This window comes from Homo sapiens, chromosome 12, assembly GCF_000001405.40.
Source record: "Homo sapiens chromosome 12, GRCh38.p14 Primary Assembly".
NCBI lineage: Eukaryota > Metazoa > Chordata > Mammalia > Primates > Hominidae > Homo > Homo sapiens.
The window spans coordinates 70,879,936-70,901,200 of NC_000012.12; the positions used below are offsets into that span (position 1 = coordinate 70,879,936).

A 21,265-nucleotide genomic window follows, 5' to 3' on the forward strand; every position below is an offset into this window, starting at 1 on the left:
CATTCAGTAAAGGTCTCTGTATTTGTTAGACGTAAACCACAATTTTGGCCCTCAGCTTTTTAGCAGTCAAAGGAAATAAAATAATCATGATTCTCTGCATTTAAAAGTATAATCACCAGCCAACCAATGGCTTAGGAGAAATACAAGTTTTCTTGGTACTGAGGCCAAAAAGATACATTTTTCATTGTTCCATATAATGTTAATAATAACAGTCAATTTTTATAAGGATCTTAGTATGTGTCAAGAGTGATGCTAAATGCTTTCAATACCTTATGTCATTCAATTCCCATAATTCCATAGGGTGGGTATTATGAGTATCACTTTTTTTTATAAACAAGGAAACTGAAATACAAGATGCTAACTTAGTCATTGAAGGAAACACAATTAATTAGTAAATGCCTAATTTGGGATCCTAACACAGTTCTACTGACTCCATAGTTATTCTTCTACCACACAGCTTCTAATTATACCTTGATTTACTCTCAAAGTATCTCTGAATATCTAACAGAATCCTTCAATATCCAGTGTAAGGTAGTCCCCACTATTTTCTCCCTGCCACATGGTTTTGTTTTGTTTTTTTCATTGCACTTAGCACTATCCGAAATTATCATGTTCATTTGTTTACTTGTTTTGTTGTCTTTCTTCGATTAGAATATAAACTACACAGCTGCAATGATCTTGTTTATCTTGTTCCCTATTGTATCCCTAGAGTCTGTTGTACTGCTTAGAGTTCAGCAGAAATTAAATAATTTTTTTGAATGAATGAATGTTTCAAGGAGCAAGAATTCAGTGTCCATTCGAAATCTTTACACATCTGAGAAGCCCATTGTCCTTGCTTATTTCTAGTTCCTTACAGATATTACTTACAGATTCTCAAGTCTCCATGACTTATTTATGCTCCTCACCAGAATGTATTGTTTCCTTTAACTTGGCTATTTTTAATAATCCAGCTTGGCATAGACTTGATTTTATCAATTTGATTTTTTATTTTAAAAGTTATACTTAACATATAGATGACATCATCATTTGTAATACATGAAAAAAAATTTTGTAATTCATTTTCCCACACACAATGACTGCTGATTTTTTAAAGCCTATATCCAAAGAATTTGCTTAGCAGCCCATTCAAGTAGATTTTGCTATACGCTGCCTAAAATTTCCTATTTAAAAACAGACCAGCTTCAAAAAAAGAAACAGAAATGAACTTGATGGCTCAAGTCACATAGAAACAACATGTACTTGTTCAGGTTAAAAACCGTAATTCTAGTTGCCATGTTCTCAGGCAGGAAAAATAAACAAATTCTTAAATAATGCAGCTTCACTAGGTCAGCAATAGGAGCATGAAATAATTAAGGGAAACTTAGCAGTAAGACAGATTCCTCACCCTGGTCATCCTAACACATATTATTCTCAGTATTCTCTAAGTCCTTCAGGCTGTCTTGGAATTTTTATCACCTGGCTATCATTTTCAGAGAGGAGGGCAAACATCTCTCACACATACACACACCTCTTCCCACAATTGTAGAAATTGTTTGTGAACATTTGGCCTATCCCCTCAAAAATGGGCCTTTTTATTGGAAGTTATTTGCTGCTAACTTATTGTTTCAGTCAAAAGCCTAAACCATGTGAAAATGTAGGCCAAATGGAAAGATATCTAAAGTTGGTAATGTTCTCTTGACTTTGCTAGACTCAAAGGGTCCAAATATGTCACCTAGTAAGGAAAGAAACAACTTGAGATATGAATATTGGCTGGATTATATTTTCATCCTTCAAAAACAAAATTTAGAAAACGTCTTAAGTAGAAGATTCTGATCAATCTTCTTTATGAAAGGACAATGATAAATAGCTATGGTGACAACATGCGTGTTTGTATTTCTGAAGTCATTCTGACACAATGAATAGATTCAACAGCGAGAAGAAGCAAATATATTTGAAATAGTTCTCTTAAGATAAGCGTAAGGAAAGGATATTTTCTTTTTAATTAAAGGGTGGAGAGTTGAATATTTCCTATATTTGTTTTCTCTTCTAAAGTATTGGGTGTTTATTGTGACACTATTGTGACACAGCCTTTGCGTTACGCTGTTGGATTTCTTGTTTAGTTTCATACCGATAACTCTATTACCAATCTTCTTCAACCTGGTTAAAGGTTTTTATTCTGTCATCCTGTGTCTGGACCACTGAATCCCCTACATCAACATCTTTCTTTCCAAACTCCAAGAAGCAAATTGAAATCTAATCCTGCGCAAGAGAAAGTGAAGAGATCTCCAAATCTAGAAGCTTTGTCATTAAATATTTACACTGGCTTAGCCCTGGAGGTATTTCCTTTTGGAACTATTCCTTTACTTGTTATTGCTGATTCCAAGATTCTTTGCACCCCATCACTAGCTATGATAGATAGGAGGAGTGATGGTCAGAATCTGTATCCTAAGTCACTACCGTGACTGCTGCCCACCCCCTGGCTTCCCAGAGGATATAGAACACCAAGAACACTCTAGACTAAAACATCACCAGGAGACCCACCCTTATCATACTAAACACTTTGGAGAAAAGTGAAAAACAAGAAATAAGAGTCAAGGAGGCCAGTCCGGCAAGACGCAAGAGTTTGCCTCTGTGTTTACATTTATTTATAAAAACTTTATTCTCCCATAGTGACTGGGAATATGATGATTGAGTAAGACCCATTTTTTTTTTAATTTGCCAAAATCTTCATCTGAAACCTATTGCTGGTCTTCCTTGACAGACATTTTCTAATGTTTAGGCTTATATTACTTGTTGCCAACACTGATCCAAAGAGGCTTCATATCCTCAAGTGTTTGTAAGCTCCAGATCCTCATCTATTCCGCTACTGGTTTGAGTCCCAGTTATATTAACGAGTTACTTTGATGTATACTTTGCCTATAAAATAGCAATAACATTTCTCTTCCTATAGTTACTATTTATTGAGTGTTCACTATTCACTAGGTGACATGTAAGAGTATTCAATGTGTTTTATCATTTAATCTATACACCTCTATGAAGTTGGTAATTTTAATCCTCCCATTTAAAAGATAATGAAGGCTGGGCAAAGTGACTCATGCCTGTAATCCCAGCACTTTGGGAGTCTGAGGCTGGTAGCAGGAGTTTAAGACCAGCCTGGCCAACATAGTGAAACCCTGTTTCTACTAAAAATACAAAAATTAGCTGAACCTGGTGGCAGGTGCCTGTAAACCCAGCTACGGGGGAGGCTGAGGCAGGAGAATCGCTTGAACCCAGAAGGTGAAGGTTGCAGTGAGCTGAGATCTCACCATTGCACTCCAGCCTGGGTGACAAGAACAAAACTCCATCTCAAAAAACAACAATAAAAAAGATAATGAAACACAGACTTAAGTCACATAAAAATTAGAGGGGAAACAGCAAGGATTTGAGCCACTGTATTATGCTATGGCTATTTTTGAATTACTTCCAATGTTTTCCCCAGTCTTACCACTTCTCTGGTAAGCCGAATGATTACCTAAGTGTGCATAATATCTTAACAATAACAATATCTTCACACAGCTTAAGCTAGGACCTTGGCTTATTTTGATAATTTCTCCACATTCCCCCCTAGTTCTCTCCTTTAACCTGCAGATAATTTCTTTCTTTTTGGTGCAAGTATTTAAGAACTGTTGTGTGCCAAGGACTATACTAAGTTAAATGAAAAGCTTCGTGCTTTTCATTTTTTGAGTTTTTTTAAATGTCAGTAGAAACCGTGTTACTTTATTAAAATACTGAGTTTTATTTCACATGTCTTAATAATGTCACAGCCAGATCTGGGGTCTTATACCCTCCCAGGAAAAAAAATGAAAGGATTAGTTAGGAAGCAGACTTTGATTGTCATGAAAATCTAATATTTGGCTGAAATCTTTTGAGTGGTCAAGATTGCCAGAAGAATTTATACAATGAAGCTCCTACATTTCCATCTGTTCCTTCTCTGTGTTGGTCCTCTTTCCACTTCTGCCACAGTAATAGCTTATTCTATTCTATTGTTTCCCTCTGTCTGCATTCTCTCACCCACTCAAACAGTGTTAACAGCCATGCATGGGTCTGTGGATATCTCCCAGGTCTAAAGCTTTGGCTGTGACCTGTCTGAACTCTAGACTCACATTCCAATTGTAGACTAGCACTGGGAGTTAAGCTTCTTAACTTTGCCCAGGGAGAGAACCTTCTAGGGACTTTTAGCTTTTGTATTTTTCCTAAAAAAAGAGAAAGAAACACGTTGCTTCTACCACCTGAGTCATAGGGATCACAGTGAGAAACCTAAGCATTTTGCTAAGTGGTGCCAATCCCATCACTCAGGAGCAGGGCCAAATGCCCCGAAAGCCCAGTATAATCATCCATTAGCAGTGAGATTTTTAACTGAACTATTGAATAGTAACAAGATAGTAAGCATGATTTACAGGCACTTATGATTACAGATAAATAGACAAAGAAGGAAAGAAAGAAAAGGGGACAAAGTCATTAACAAAAGGCATACGGGAGAACAGTTCTTAACAACTGGAAAACCAAAGGCAATTTTAGAGAGAACTGAAAGCTCCAAGTAAATATTTGCTCCAGAGAAAAGATACTATTTTTGTTTATCTGCAGATCCCCCTTTTTGACATTATTGTGGAAATTTTGGATTAAAAATTTTTTTGCCAGGCGCGGTGGCTCACGCCTGTAATCCCAGCACTTTGGAAGGCCGAGGCGGGCGGATCACGAGGTCAGTAAATCGAGACCATCCTGGCTAACACGGTGAAACCCCGTCTCTACTAAAAAATACAAAAAAAAAATTACCCGGGCGTAGTGGCGGGCGCCTGTAGTCCCAGCTACTCCGGAGGCTGAGGCCAGGGAATGGCGTGAACCTGAGAGGCGGAGCTTGCAGTGAGCCGAGATCGTGCCACTGCACTCCAGTCTGGGCAACAGAGCAAAACTCTGTCTCAAAAAAAAAAAAAAAAAAAAAAAAAGTTTTGCAGGCTCCAACATAAAGAGGAACAGCACTGTCCTTCTTCCTCAAAGATAAGTTCTGAAATAGAATGTTTTGTATCTTCTAATCAGAACATTCTCTTTTTTTGTTCTGTTTACTCCTTTGGCTATTTTAAATATTTCACTTTACTTAAGATTTAAGGTCTAAGATCTTTGAAACGTACATAATTTGCCCAAATGAAAAAAATTAGATCCTATATTACAATTATATGAAGAATTTATAAAGAAAGTAGCTTTCCCTGAGATAAGCTCACCAAATTCTCTCAGTAATATTAATTGGGCAGTTGCTTAGAAAATAATACTATATTAGATATTGTCATCATTTATTTCTCCTTCTCAGGATGAGTGGCCTTAAATCAGTGACTGTATTGGGAATATAAGTCAATATATAAAATGTGAAAGCTACTATACAATGAAATTTTTAGCAGCTGTTAAAAGTGATGCTGTACAATGATACTTAACGACTTGGAAAGCCATCCATAATGTAAACATAAAACTAAAAAATTACAAAGCACATATATGCAGATTTCATACTTTTGTAAAAAATACATGCATACCTGTACATAGAAAAGAATATATAGAGAGAGCAAGATTACCTTAGTTATTTAACAGTTAAGGATTTTTTTTTTTTTTTTTTGAGACGGAGTCTTGCTCTGTTGCCCAGGCTGGAGTGCAGTGGCACAATCTCAGCTCACTGCAAGCTCTGCCTCCTGGGTTCATGCCATTCTCCTGCCTCAGCCTCCCGAGTAGCTGGGACTATAGGCGCCCACCACCATGCCCGGCTAATTTTTTGTATTTTTAGTAGAGATGGGGTTTCACCGTTAGCCAGGATGATCTCGATCTACTGACCACGTGATCCACCAGCCTTGGCCTCCCAAAGTGTTGGAATTACACGCTGAGCCACCACGCCTGGCTGGTTATGGATGGTTTTTATTTCCGCTTTTCCTTATCTAAACTTTCTAAATATTCTACAACTGTATGAAAATGCATAATTTTTGGAATTAGAACAAAAATATTACTAAGTTATTCCCTGCTCATTCACTGCACCTGGAGAGCAAGGCCTAATGACAATCAATTAAACCAGCTCTCTTAAGACTTGAGTCATCCTAATAGTGAATGTGTATGATCCCAAACAAGCAGATGCACTGAGTGGTCCAGGGTTGTAACCTCACACAGACATTGCTGAGGCTTAGCCTCTAGCTTTTCCAGAGTGCATTCCAGCATCGTCCTTGCTGCTTTAATAGCTAGAAATGGTGAAAAGCAACAGATGGTGACAGTTATGACTGTCAGGATGCCAAGCTCAAGAACGGAATTTCTACTTCAGGACTATTTTGCAAGGATACAGTAATAGCTGGGGAAATCTGAGCATAAAGCTTTCTGCAATGCTAGTCTGGCGATTATATAAGAAGGTGATTATATAAGAAGATCTTATAATTTAATAGGAAGCATTAACATTAAGTTAAGAGCAGAACAAAAGTTCAACCAAACTTCTGGAGTAGATCATTGAATTTCTTTTTCTAGGCTTTCTTAAAAATAAAATCTAACTGAAAGCTGTATTTTATTTTTTATTAGTATCTGTGAAATGGCTATTATGGATCCTTTAAGTCAACTCAAATGATTTTGAATCCTGGGAATAGATTAAGCAATCATCAATATTCATTGACTAGCTATTTTGCATTTGCTATTGAAAGGTTATAGATACAAAACAAGTATATTTTTAATGGAATTTCTACTCTAGGTGGGGAGAGAAAATGTAAAACGAGATCATATAATGGGTAATTAAGTGTTAAAATTGCATATTCAATCATATTTTCTTGATAATGAGATGTACTATTTATTTAATTACAAGCTTTTGAATTGTGTTTCTTTTGGCATCAACTCATTCTTTCATCAAATAAATAGTTATGAGCCCCTATATCATTGTGGTCACTGGAAATACAGCAGGAACAAAATAAAAAAATCTCAACATTGTGGAACATACATTATAACTCGGGAAGAAAGAGACATAAAAGATATTAGCTAGAAGTGCTTCATAAGTACTAAGAAGAAAAATAATGTAGGCAGGTGGACATAAATGTCTTTGGAAGCTGTAGTTTTAAACAGTGTCACCCTGGCTAGGTGTAAGACAGTGCCCTCCTTCTTTCAGTGATGGCGTATGTTCCCAATGTTTATTTTCTTTTTGGTTTTACATTTCTACTTTTGAAATTTGTTCCTGAAAACTATCCAAGCTGTCTGTTAAAAATTTAAGTAGGGGCCAGGCTCAGTGGCTCATGCCTGTAATCCCAGCACTTTGGGAGGCTGAGGCAGGTAGATCACTTGAGGTCAGGAGTTTGAGACCAGCTGGGCCAACATGGTGAAACCCCGCCTCTACTAAAAATACAAAAAATTTAGCTGGGCGTGGTGGTCCGTGCCTATCGTCCCAGCTACTTGAGAGGCTGAGGCAGGAGAATTGCTTGAACCCAGGAGGCGAAGGTTGCAGTCAGCCAAGATCGCACCACTGCACCGTGGCCTGGGCAACAGAGCGAGACTCTTTCCAAAAAAAAATTAAGTAATAAGGTGAAGAAAAAAGTAGGAAATTTACTGCAGGTTGAAGTAAAAAAATGCAATAAGAAATCTTTCATCATCTCAGTGTCCAAAACAACTGCATTCTGTTATTTGACATTTATTTATTAATTTAAAAATAATTAATGAGCCTTCATTATGTGCTAGACACAAGATTTGCAGGAAGTATATTATTCTAGGTAGAACAGCAAGAGTAAAATTCCTGATTCAGGCAGGAATAGGCTCACTGTCCTGAGGAAGAGAGAAGGCCAGAGCAGTTTGCAGGGAGTCAAGGAGAGGTGGAGTGGTAGGAGATGGACTCAGAGACACAGGGATAGGCCAGGTGGTGTGCTATGCTTCCCAAACCTCTGAAAACCCAAGTATCCTCCAGAATGCTTCCTGAATGCATTGATTCCTAGGATCCATCCTAGAACTATGGAATCAGAATCCTTAGGCAAGAGTTCTGGGAATCTTGGATCCCAGGTGATGTAGGATATAGGCCATGGGAAAATGTTTGAATTTTAGTTCAATGGCAATAAGAAGGCAGTCGTGAATGTGTGTATGTGTGTGTGTGGGTGTGTGTGTGTGGTGTGATATGATCTGATTCAAACTTTCTGCAGATCACCATAACAAAAATGGGAAAGAGTGGATACAGTGACTAGTTAGCAGCATGTTCCAATAATTTATTAGAGAAAGAAAAGCAAAAAATCAGAGATAATAGTTTTGTTGTTGCCACAGGCTTGCTGTAACAATTATATGAGATAATACTCGCATAGTTCTTAGCATACTATCAATGTTTTATGCTTAGCAAAAAATAATTTACTTATCACTATCATGATATCTTTTGAAAAAAAGCTATTCAATTGTTCCAGTCTCACATGGTCAATAATATTTTCCCACTCACTTGTGATGCCTCCCTTATCATTCTTTAATTTCTCATATGGACTCAGATTGCTCTATGATTTCTACTTTTCCATTTGTAAATTTGCATGCATGTACTTTCAGTAGTTGTTGTTTAACCAACTTTCTTGTGTTGCAACTTTTAAAATCAGATTTATTCTCTTAGGGCTTTATATGCATCCCATCTAGGAACTTGGGACAGGTGTTCTGGGACTATATGGAAGCACATCTGAGTCACACCTCACATTACAGTAGGCTTTCGCATTTCACCAGTTTAGTATTTTGGACTTGGTATTATATTATTTTGATCCCATATACCCTTAACACATATTAATTCAAAAAATTTCCCAAAGCCTGTGTTTGAATCATGCTTTCTTTGAGTTTGCCCACCAAGAGCAAGTCACTTAGCTCAAGAATAAGCCTAGACATCTGCTTCTCCACAGCTCAACACAGACCTATTGTCCCTACTATGTAAGTAATCACTGTCAAGAAGTATACAGGCTACTGTAGTTTTTCACAAAATTTGAGACTTTTCAGGGTCAAAATATAAAGAATTCAATAGGTTGTACTAAAGCATCGTGCTCAATGGCAAACAGTCTGAATTTTAAGACATATCCTAGGGATCTTAACTTTCTCCTATGTCAGGAGAAATGTTAAATGCTGATTGAACCATATCTAGAGCTAAATGTACTACAAAAGTGTTGGCATTTGAACCAATAAATTTTCTCCAGTTTGGGTTGGATTTGTCATCACTTACAACAACATATTCCTCAACAATACATCTTCTATGACATGGCTGAATTCTGTTGATATGTACATAGACTAAGCCCATCCTTCGGGTAATCCACTACACAAATATAAAATTATAATTAAACCAATTTGTCTATTGAAAAAGTATCCAACAGTTATTTATCCACATCACACAGTAAATGCTACAGAATTTCTTTACAGTGGCAAAGCAATGAGAAAGCCGGACTTTCAAAGCCCTTCACATAATGTCTAGAGATTATCACTTTACTTATAAGATGAATCCAAAAGGTAGTCAACAGCAGAACAAAGCTGAGGCATGCCATAAACCCGAGTTTAGAATGTAATTAAAACCCATAGCTATCACACGTTTTTGGATTTAATAGCTTTCTAAGTCAAATACCTGACAAAAAGTATTTGCAAAGAATTTTCTGTGTCACAGAAACAATAGAATGTCTGTCTATATGTTGATCTGGGTGAGTGGTGAGCAAGACAAGAAATTTTAGGATTCTAGGATCTCAAGGAGAGGATCGCAAGCCCCTGGAAACTCATCATCTTCCTATGTGCTCACAGAATGCTTCCTGCTTCCCTAAAAACTGCCTCTGTATCCTCTCCTCCCTTCTCCCCCCGCTTCTTTTTCCCTTCTTTCCTTGCCTCCTTTCCTTCTCCTGCTGCTCTTCTTCCTGTTTCTTCTCCTCCATCTTCTCCTTTCCTTTATTTTTCTTACCCATGAGTCCATCTCACAGAGTAAATCATAATCTTCCCATTTCCATGCCGTTTCACTGATGTCAAAAACCACCCCTTATATTCCCAAGCCTTACTAATCCTCAGTTTGCTCAGATTTCTGTCCAGGCTAGAACATTCTTCACTCAGCAGCCTATGCTGAACTGAAATGGCCTGTAGTTGCTACCATTCCACCATTTTCACTTGCACCTCTGGGTTCCCTCCTTCCTGGTGTTGTGGCCTTGTGTCTTGACAAATATCCTGAGGATCCAGTGACAAGAGCTATGGATTTTACAGCATACTTTCATCTAAAGCGGTATTTTTTTCCTCTTACCATAGTACTGACCTTGAGGCATTCAATATCTTCTCTACATTGTACTTGCACAGAAATCCTAATAACAGCTTCTTAATTGAGTTCCGGAACATAGTTAGCATTATTTGGGATAAACATTCTAATTGTGTTGTACTCTCCTTGTAACAAATAAACTATAAATTTTCCTGATTACTAATAAAAAGAAGAAAGAGGGAAAAAATTCATTTGTGGATAAATGCTCTTATGAAATGCTTTGCGGTGGCAATTGGGAATCAGGAAGGGAGGAGAGACACAACTTTCATGCCCTTTTTAAAGGTAGCATTCTAAAACTCATTGCCAATGATAGTTGAAACAAGAAAGAAAAAAGTATTGGAGGAAAAATGCTTGATCCTTCCTTCTGAGCTAGGAAGTCTTAGAAGTTACATATAAAGTTTAGAGGTTGAGTGTAGCTTTTTACCCTGGCTGGAAAAAAAATGCCTATAATTTCTCCAGTTCAAGACACTGATAGTCAGAACATGGTCTATTTGAGTATAAATTAAGTCTCAAAATAATTCTTAGTACCACTGCAATATCCCTCAAACAAGAAGGTCTGCATTGATGTATATGTTTTATACTCATGTACATATGATAAGCACAAACACACATCAATTATTCCATTAAAGTCATTATGCTGCCCCAGAATATATCCCTTGCTTCCTGTATGCCCCATCCATACATCCATTTTCTGTATGGAATGGGTCTTCAAATCAGCTGACATTTAATTGCATCACCCCTTTGCTTTTTGAGGAAGCTAAACATTATTGATTTATTTAAAAAATAACCCTGCCTCCCCAGTTTTGCTGCTAAATCATCATGCACATAAGTAATCTAAGTGGATTGCAGGAAACATTAGGACTGGCAATTGGTGTTGCCAGCTACCAAAGCCACAGCATGGTCAGAGGCTAGGGAAAGCTAATGCAGCAAAATTGCCTATTGCCTCTATGTAATCATCACCCCAAAGGAAAAGCACAGCTTCTTCATCAATCTCCAAACCACAAATAAGCTGAAAGTGAAATGACCTGCCAGAATTCCTCATTGGTGCCTTTTATTGTCCATGATATTAAATTAACTAGACAGTACATGACATTACAAGATAGAACAAGCCTCTTGAACTGTAATTCACAGTGACTTTAAGAGTTGATGACTATGGGTATATGATGGTCACTAAGGAAATATCTCCCATGAGCCCTAGCATTAACAGGAGCATCTCCAGATACAGAGACATCATTAACATCATTTATCTTCACTGAATAGACAGAGTACATGACTTTCACCTTCAGAACATCTGCTACTCATGTAAATGCAGAAAACTTGTTCAAGTATTTCAGGATGCCAAGTGACCCACATATTTTCTCTTAACAAGAGTTCATCTTGTGTTCTTAGCTTATGATTTTTATTGAATTATTGATATTTCCCTCTGGACATTTTCCAAGCAAAACAAGAGACTGTATTTCATTTGTCTCTGTTTCCAGATATCCCAAGGGGAAACTAGATCATAATAAATACTGAGTGTATGCTAGCTGAAAACATTGACGAATGGAACTTTGATTCTCAATATTAAGTAAAGTATACTATATGTAGTAGGTTAAAAAAATAAAGAAAAAAAAGAAGCTTGTTAGATTTAATTACATTTGGTGCATAGAGGAGTTGCCAAAATGCAAACATGGTTTCATTGAATTATCTTGGCCACACAAATCAACTCATTTGATTATATTTTGGAGCAGAGATGCAATAACAACCATTTAACTACTGATTTGTAGTTTCAATGTGGATCCTTCTATAATGATGTTAAACCAGAGAGTGACTGTAGTTCAAATAGGGTGTCAACCTCAGTATGTATTTAAACTATGATAACCTCCACAATTTGGAAACCTCTGACCTGGGTTATACAAGCAAGGGAACTTTAAGAACATAAGCAATGGGATCATTGTATCACTTTTATTAATAAAGAATGGTTATTATTCAGTAATATCAAAAATGTTATCTATCAATTACTCCCAACTCATTTTATTTGCTCCAGTGACAGAAAACTACTCTCCCTCTACCACACCTCCCCTTTCAGTTGTCTTATTTATTGTAATTTGAGTCAAGTGACCAGAGGATCTTCAATAAGTATTATTTATTTACACAGGCTGAGACTAAGGCCTATCTGCTTAAAACAGATTCTCACAGAAGGTAGGAGGCTCAGTACAAGATATAATCAACTATAATTGTAAGGCCTTCCTAAAGTAATCTTTTATTCAAATATTTATTAAGCATCTACCATGTACCATGCATTCTGCTATGAGCGGAGGATACAGACAAGTTTTCTGATTTCGTAAGAGGAAGAAAACAGACAACAGTCAAGTAAGAAATTAGAAGTACCACAGAATAAGTGCTGTGGTACATACCCGTTGGGATTCATTGATAACTATTCACAATCAGTGTTTTTCTTTTTTCAAGCATCAATGACAGGAAAGAATCAACATCAGCCTCAGCATCAGTTTAACATACTACTTACCACCACAATTACATTTGCTGCTGGGATTGGGAGATTTTCCACTTCAAGATCTTGACCATCCATGGCCAGCAGATTGAGAGACGGGTCATATGCGGGTCTAGGAAATGCTGAATTGACAATCTGGTGGCGTTTGCTTACTTGAGCTTCGGAAGAGGAATGGTAGCTATGTCTGTAGATTTTTTGTGGGGCTATATCCAGGCTCTTCTCAATGTCTTGTGAATGCTTATAAATGAATACCGGCTTCCCACTCTTCTTCTGATTAATTGCCAAAAAATGATCATTGTTTCCTGAAAAGCACCCTGAAAGAGGGAAGAAGCAGAAACAATATCAAAGACCCTATTCAGTAAGAGAGGTAGATATATCTGATGAAGAGGATTACCCTTTCTTGAGAGGCTTTAAGACTTGTGAAGGATTTAGGTTAGTCTCCATATTTCTTTGTCTGCTTCATGATCCTCAACAAATAGTATACACCTGGTGGTATGAAGGCCTCTCAAAGACTTTAGGTGGATAAAAGTGGGCGTACTTTGAAAAAGTTCTATTTTTCAGATATTCTGATGCCACTTTTACTAAGAAATTTCCTCCTTTATCTACACCCATAGTTTCAATACCTACTTGGGCTTCTATTCCTGGATGTCCTATCTGCTGCTGAAATTATAAATATTTTTATCATATTTAAGCTTTCCTTAAATATAAGCATTTCCTACAATTCTTATTTCATACTTATTGCTTGTATTACAATGAACAGTTTTCTTCACGCTTACAGAGTATTTAAGCTCTCTGAGGTAAGAAATCTGAGTGTACTTATTGTGGTAGCAACTTTCAGTAGTCCAAACAATATCCATCGTCTCCTTACTTGTGTAAGTAATATGGCCATCTAGATAGAGACTACATTTCTCTCAGTCTTCCCTGCAACTAAGCATTGCCATTTGATCAAGTTATAGCTATTGGAATGTGAGTAAACAGATGTTAGCAGAGATGTGATATGGCCTTCCTTTCTACATTTCCTCTTTTGTGCTGGCTGAAATGCAGAGAGTCTGGTAGGAGCATGAGGTAGAAACCATGTGTCAAAGATGGTAGAGCACTAAGACAAAATATTCTGATCCCTGATGAAAGTGAAACTACCATACCAACCTCACAGTTCCCACTCTGATTTTTAGAGAGAAAAACAATATTCTATTGTTTTACCTGCTATTATTTTAAGTATCTTTGTTAGAGCAATTGAATTTATTTAGTAACAAATACATTCATCTTTATTTCTTCTGTTAGATAAATATTCATTGCATTGAATAATGGCTTCTCCTGTTTGCTACTGGCCACAGGAGGAAACAGATAATACATATGAATCAAAAAGAATATTACTAGGTCAAATACCAGTTAGAAAAGCAAACATGAGATCTGTTTTATAACATAGTCCCTAGCAATGGTACCCCAGATTTTCACTGGAAATGCTTGTGGTAACAAGTGCTGTCCTTAGAAAATTACTTACCTCTTTTTACAAGAATTCTTCTCCAATCTCCTACTATTTTTATCTTTTACTTCCCAAATCATGCAAGCGTCTGTACTTTATTTTGTTTTTCTTGCAAATTTCAGCTATTTACATGCCCAAATTCAATAGAATTATCATGGCAGATCTAGTACTCATGCTACTGGGCATTTAAATTTCTCTATTTTCTCTTAGGTGAGAGACCCACGTTCATTTATGCATACAATATACCTTTCCCAAAGCACAGAATCACCTCTACATCAGTGGTATTAGAAAAGTAAACCAGGATGAAAGTAGTATATTATTTTATTTCTTAACCCCAAAGGAATCACTTCATTGTAGTGATATCAGATAGTTTTTCAGAGGGAAAGAAGAAAATTACTCTCCTTTCAGAAATGTAGAAACTCTTCTAGGACACTACAATATTATTTAGTAAATTATTTTTAGTAAAATAATAAATACACACCTTGTGGTCAGAAAGTTCATATACATCTAAAACATTTTGGCACCATTTTCCATTGATAAAACAGTGGTAAGAACAACAACATTGAGATATCCTGTTCTGAATTCCATTATACTACATATGTTCTTAATGAGAGTTTCATTTCCAAATCCGAGGAACTCATTTAATATGGAGAAATAAAATGTACAATTATTTAAGGGTCATCATTGTCCAATCATCATCTTTGGCAAACTATGGGTGGCTTGATTGTTTTAAAAAAGTTATGGTCAATTTAGCATGCTCGGAACTGAAGACATGATGATTAGTTTCCATTACTATTTCAGGATCCACATAAAATATAATTCAAGTGGTCCAAAAAGATAAAGCTACTGGTAACAGAAGATGATTCTCATACTATTATATCGTGGAATAAAGCACTTGGGCTAAGAAAATAACCCATCTTTATAACCCCACATGAAAGTTGAAGGGATACGGGTGAAACAGAGTTGCTGAAGATGTAAGACGTATATGTTGGTCACACAAGGCTTGATGGAAAGCAAAGCCTGTAAAAACTAGCAATTCCTCTACTCTGGATTCTCTATAAATAGTAAATAAAAAGAAAAAAGCAGCTTAGAAGATTGGGGAAAGTAGATATCTTAAAAGAGGAGAAATAACTGACAAACTGAGTAAATTACACAAATATCTTCAATCTTTCTTTTTATATATTATCAATCACACCAAGTCTTTTCAGAGCCACTTTATCTAAATAGAAAAGTCCAGTTAATAAATGCATGCTAAAATTGGCCTACCGAGAAAGGGACAAAATCTAAGTTGAAGCGCAATTGAAACACAATGAAAATTTTCCAACCTTATCCACTTGTCTGTGTGAATGAACTTAGTCCTGCCTTGTTCCTGAGTAATGAGTTCTAAGATAGCAGTGTAATATTAGGTGTCCTACCACAATCATTAGGTAAGAAAAAAAATTTCATAGTGCTGTCCTTAGGTTCTCTGTATCAGAGCTACCCGGGACATGATGATACAGTTTCTTAGACCCCAGACTAGAACTACCAAAGCATAATCTCTATAGATGTAGCCTAGGAATCTGGATTTATAATAGAATTCTTATGTTCAAACTCTGATGTTTGAGGACCACTGACCTAATGTCTGGAATTGGTTTTGTATTTTCTATCCTCAAATGCTACCTATTTCCTCCTTCACTTCAGCTTTATGAATATACTCAAGTAAAAATTTTGGAAAAGTGAAGACTGAGAAGCCAAGTTATCTATTAGTGAAGCCGTAATTCTAAAGCAGCCAACAATCATAGCTCTTTTCCCTCTCTCTCCTATCAATACCTGACCCTGGACTCAGATGCAGGTGTAGAAGCGCAAGAAACTCACTTCAAATATAATGATATGGACACATTTAAAGTGAAAGAGTGAAAAGCAACATATCATGAAAACCTAATCAAAAGAAACCTGGAGTGACTATATTAATATCAATTCAGCACAAAGAAATTCCCAAGGATAAAGAGGGACATTACATAATGATGGACATATGATGCAATGTACATAAGAATACATAATATTCCTAAATATATATGCATCAAAAATGAGCTTAAAATTCATGGAGCAAAGCTGACAAAAATGAAAGGAGAAATGGGAAAATTCACAATTATCATTGAAGATTTTAACTGTTCCCTCTCAATAGTAAGTAGATTGAGGAGAAAGAAAAGAAGCAAAGGCAAGGTTGTAAAAGAACACCACCATCAACCAACTGGATTTAATAGGTGTTTATAGAACACACAACCCAAAACACCAGAATACACAATCTTTTCACGTTCTTATGGGGTATTCATCTAGACAGATCATATACTGGGCCATAAAATAACACATGTTGAAAACTGAAATTATACAAGGTATACTCTTTGACCATGAAGGAATTAAACTAGGAATCAGTAACAGAAAGAAAAGAAGAATATTTCCAAAATTTGGAAATTAAAAAAACACATTTCTAAATATCCATGGGCCAAAGAGAAAGTCACAAGACAAATTAGAACATATTTTGAACTGAACTAAAATAAAAATATAACATATCCTGAATGGTATTGCCTAGGTTTTCTTCTAGGGTTTTTACGGTTTTAGGTCTAACATGTAAGTCTTTAATCCATCTTGAATTAATTTTTGTATCAGGTGTAAGGAAGGGATCCAGTTTCAGCTTTCTACATATGGCTAGCCAGTTTTCCCAGCACCATTTATTAAATAGGGAATCCTTTCCCCATTGCTTGTTTTTGTCAGGTTTGTCAAAGATCAGATAGTTGTAGATATGCGGCATTATTTCTGAGGGCTGTGTTCTGTTCCATTGGTCTATATCTCTGTTTTGGTACCAGTACCATGCTGTTTTGGTTACTGTAGCCTTGTAGTATAGTTTGAAGTCAGGTAGCGTGATGCCTCCAGCTTTGTTCGTTTGGCTTAGGATTGACTTGGCAATGTGGGAGGACTTCATGTCTAAAACACCAAAAGCAATGGCAACAAAAGACAAAATTGACAAATGGGATCTAATTATACTAAAGAGCTTCTGCACAGCAAAAGAAACCACCATCAGAGTGAACAGGCAACCTACAAAATGGGAGAAAATTTTTGCAACCTACTCATCTGACAAAGGGCTAATATCCAGAATCTACAATGAACTCAAACACATTTACAAGAAAAAAAACAAACAACCCCATCAAAAAGGAGGCAAAGGATATGAACAGACACTTCTCAAAAGAAGACATTTATGCAGCCAAAAAACACATGAAAAAATGCTCATCATCACTGGCCATCAGAGAAATGCAAATCAAAACCACAATGAGATACCATCTCACACCAGTTAGAATGGCAATCATTAAAAAGTCAGGAAACAACAGGTGCTGGAGAGGATGTGGAGAAATAGGAACACTTTTACACTGTTGGTGGGACTGTAAATTAGTTCAACCATTGTGGAAGTCAGTGTGGCGATTCCTCAGGGATCTAGAACTAGAAATACCATTTGACCCAGCCGTCCCATTACTGGGTATGTACCCAAAGGATTATAAATCGTGCTGCTATAAAGACACATGCACACATATGTTGGTTGTGGCACTATTCACAATAGCAAAGACTTGGAAGCAACCCAGATGTCCAACAATGATAGACTGGATTAAGAAAATGTGGCACATGTACACCATGGAATACTATGCAGCCATAAAAAAGGATGAGTTCATGTCCTTTGTAGGGACATGGATGAAGCTGGAAATCATTCTCAGCAAACTATCACAAGGACAAAAAACCAAACACCACATGTTCTCACTCATAGGTGGGAATTGAACAATGAGAACACATGGACACAGGAAGGGGAACATCACACACCAGAGACTGTTGTGGGGTGGGGGGAGGGGGAAGGGATAACATTAGGAGATATACCTAATGCTAAATGACTAGTTAATGGGTGCAGCACACCAACATGGCACATGTATATGTATGTAACAAACCTGCACGTTGTGCACATGTATCCTAAAACTTAAAGTATAATAATAATAATAAAAAAAGAGAATCCATATGTAGAAACCTATGTAGATAACCTGAATTAAAGCAATTAGAGAAACCTTAAAAAAAAAAAAGCCAGCCTAGTAAATGAGTATAGGGATTATGAAGTTTTTGCTTGTCTTCAAATTTCTAATTCAAAGTGATACTTCTATAAATGTGAACCCAATGCATTATCTTGTCAATATATGCACTTTTAAAAAGACACCTCATTTTATTTTAGTTGTTCTCTTATTTATATTGTTTTTCTACAGTTTATGTTTTTCTTTTCATCATCATTTAGTCTTTTTTTAACTCCTTGATACTCTTTATATAATTATTTTTACATATTACATATTACATATTCAATAAATATATATATTTTAAAAATCCTTAACCTATAAATATATATATACACACATATATATGTATATACATATATATAACATGATTTGTGGGATGCAGTTGAAACAGTGCTTAAGAAAAAATTATACCATTAAATGGTCTCAAATCAAAGGTCTCAAATCAAAAATATAAGCTTCCACTTTAAGAAACAAGAAAAAAGAGTAAAATAAATGTAAAGAAATTAAACTGTTAAAAGTAGAAATCATTACATTGAAAATACAGAGAGAGAAAAACGAGTGAAACAAAAGCTAGTTATTTGAAAAGATTAGTAAAGCTGATAAAACTCTAGCAAGACTGACAGAGAAAGAGAGAAACACAAATTTCTAATATCAGAAATGAAAGGAGGGATATCATTACGGACTTAGCAAGTGTAAAAATGTATAAAAAGGAAAATAACAATCCTCTACAAATAAATTCAACAATTTAGATAAAACGATCAAATCCTTAAAACCACAAACTATTGAAACTCACCAAAGATGAAATAAATAATCTAAATTGTGCTAAAATTATAAAAGAAATGAAATTTCTACTTAAACCTTTTCTGAATAAAAATCTTCAGGACCAAATGGCATAATTGAAAATGTCTACCAAACACTTAAAGAAAAAATAACATCAAATCTATATAATTTCTCCCAGAAAATAGAAGGGGGAACATTCACCGAAATCATCTGATGAAGCCAAAATTACCCTGATAACAAAAGCAGATAGAGACAATCCTAAAAAAAAACACTATAGACCAATATTGCTCATGAACACAAATGTAAAAGTCCTCAACAAAATATTAGCAAATTGAATGCAGAAATACAGAAAAAGACATATGCCACTACCAAATGGGGCTGATTTTCCTGGGAATGTAGGGCTGCTTCAATATTTGAAAAACAATCTACATAACCCACTCTACTGAGAGTCTAAAGAGGAAAAATAATAGTCATACTAATTGGTGGAAAAAACTATTTGACAAAATTCATGTCTATTCATAGTAAGAAAAAATTAAGTAACCTAGAAATAGAAGAGAATGTTCTCAACCTGATAAAAGGTACCTACACCAAACCCCACAGTACACATTATGCTTAATAGTGAAAAACTGAATCTTCCCCTTCTAAGACAAGGACAAGGCACCCATACCATTCCTATATAACACTGTATTAAGAGTCCTAGTCAGTGCAATGAGACAAAGAAAAGGAGCAAAAGACATAAAACTGTTCTATTTGCAGATGACATGATTGTCTATATAAAAAATCCCAAGGAATTTACCAAAATCTTCCTAGAACTGACAGGTCAGTTTAGCAAGGTCACAATATATAAAGGCAACCTACAAAACTAAATGGCATTTGTATAAGTTAGCAATGTATAATTGAAAACTAGAAGTAAAAAAAACAAACTGACCCAAAAATAAAATACTTAGGTATAAATCTAACAGAACATGTGCAAGATACATATATATACTGAAAACTATAAAATGTTGAACAAAGAAATCAGAGACGACCTAAATAAACAACAAATATACTATGTTCATGAATTAGAAGACTCTACATAATGAAGATGTCAATCATCTCCAATTACAATAAAATATCATTAGAATTTTTTGTAGATGTAGATATGCTGATTCTAAAATTTACATAGAAAGGCAAAATAAATAGAAAGCTAAAACAATTTTGAAAAAATAATAAAGTTAAAAAATACTGCTCAATTCTAAAACTTACTATAAAGCTATAGTTATTGAGGTAGTGTAGTGTTGGCAAAGAAATAGACAAACAGATCAATGGTGCAAAATAGAGATTTCATGCAGAAGCATGAAATTGGATTCATACATCACACCATATACAAAAATGAATTAAAGATTTCCATATAAAATCCAAAACAATAAAACTACTAGAAGAAAAGATAGGCAAAAATCTCCACAACATTAGTCTGGGCAATGATTTTTTTTAAATATGACCCCAAAAGCACAGGCAACTGAAGCAAAAATAGACAAATGGGATTGCATCAAACTAAAAAGCTTCTGCACAGCAAAGGAAACAATTAACAAAGTCAAGTGATAACCCACAGAATGGGAGAAAATATTTGCAAACCACACATCTGATAAGGAGTTAATATCAAAAATACATAAGGAACTCAAACAATGTAATACCAAAAAAATTAACCCAGTGAAAAGATGGGCAAAAGATTTGAACAGATATTTCTGAAAAGACGACTTACAAATTTCCAATAGGTAAATGAAAATATGCTCAGCATCACTAACCATTAGGAAAATGCAAATTAAAGCCACAATGAAGTAACACCACATACCTGTTAGAATGGGTTTATCAAAAAAGATGAAAGTTAAGTGTTGGCCAGGATGGGAAGAAAGGGGAACTCTTGCACATTGTTGTGGGAATGTAAATGAGTACAGGTGGTTTCTTTTCCAAAATGCTTGGGACCAGATATGTTTTGAATTTTGGATTTTTTTGGATTTCAGAATATTTGCAGAATATATACTAATTGAGCATCCCTGATTAAAAGGCCCAAAATTCAAAATACTCCAACAAGCATTTCCTTTGAGCATCATGTTGGTATGCAAAAAGTTTTCTATTTTGGAGAATTTAGGGTTTTGAATTTTTGAATTAGGGATCCTCAACCTGTACAGTCATTATGGGAAATGGTATGGCAGTTC

At 35.7% G+C, this 21,265-nt stretch overlaps 1 protein-coding gene across 3 annotated transcripts in view; it reads right to left on the bottom strand.

The window, feature by feature from the left end:
* Window positions 1–21,265, bottom strand: part of PTPRR (protein tyrosine phosphatase receptor type R) — a 282,666-nt gene that overhangs the window by 241,863 nt on the left and 19,538 nt on the right. For all 3 annotated transcript variants that reach the window (XM_011538615.3, NM_002849.4, XM_047429233.1), the window contains exon 2: window positions 12,744–13,042. In XM_011538615.3, the coding sequence (XP_011536917.1) occupies window positions 12,744–13,042 (299 nt within the window). The remainder of the gene's footprint in view (window positions 1–12,743; window positions 13,043–21,265) is intronic.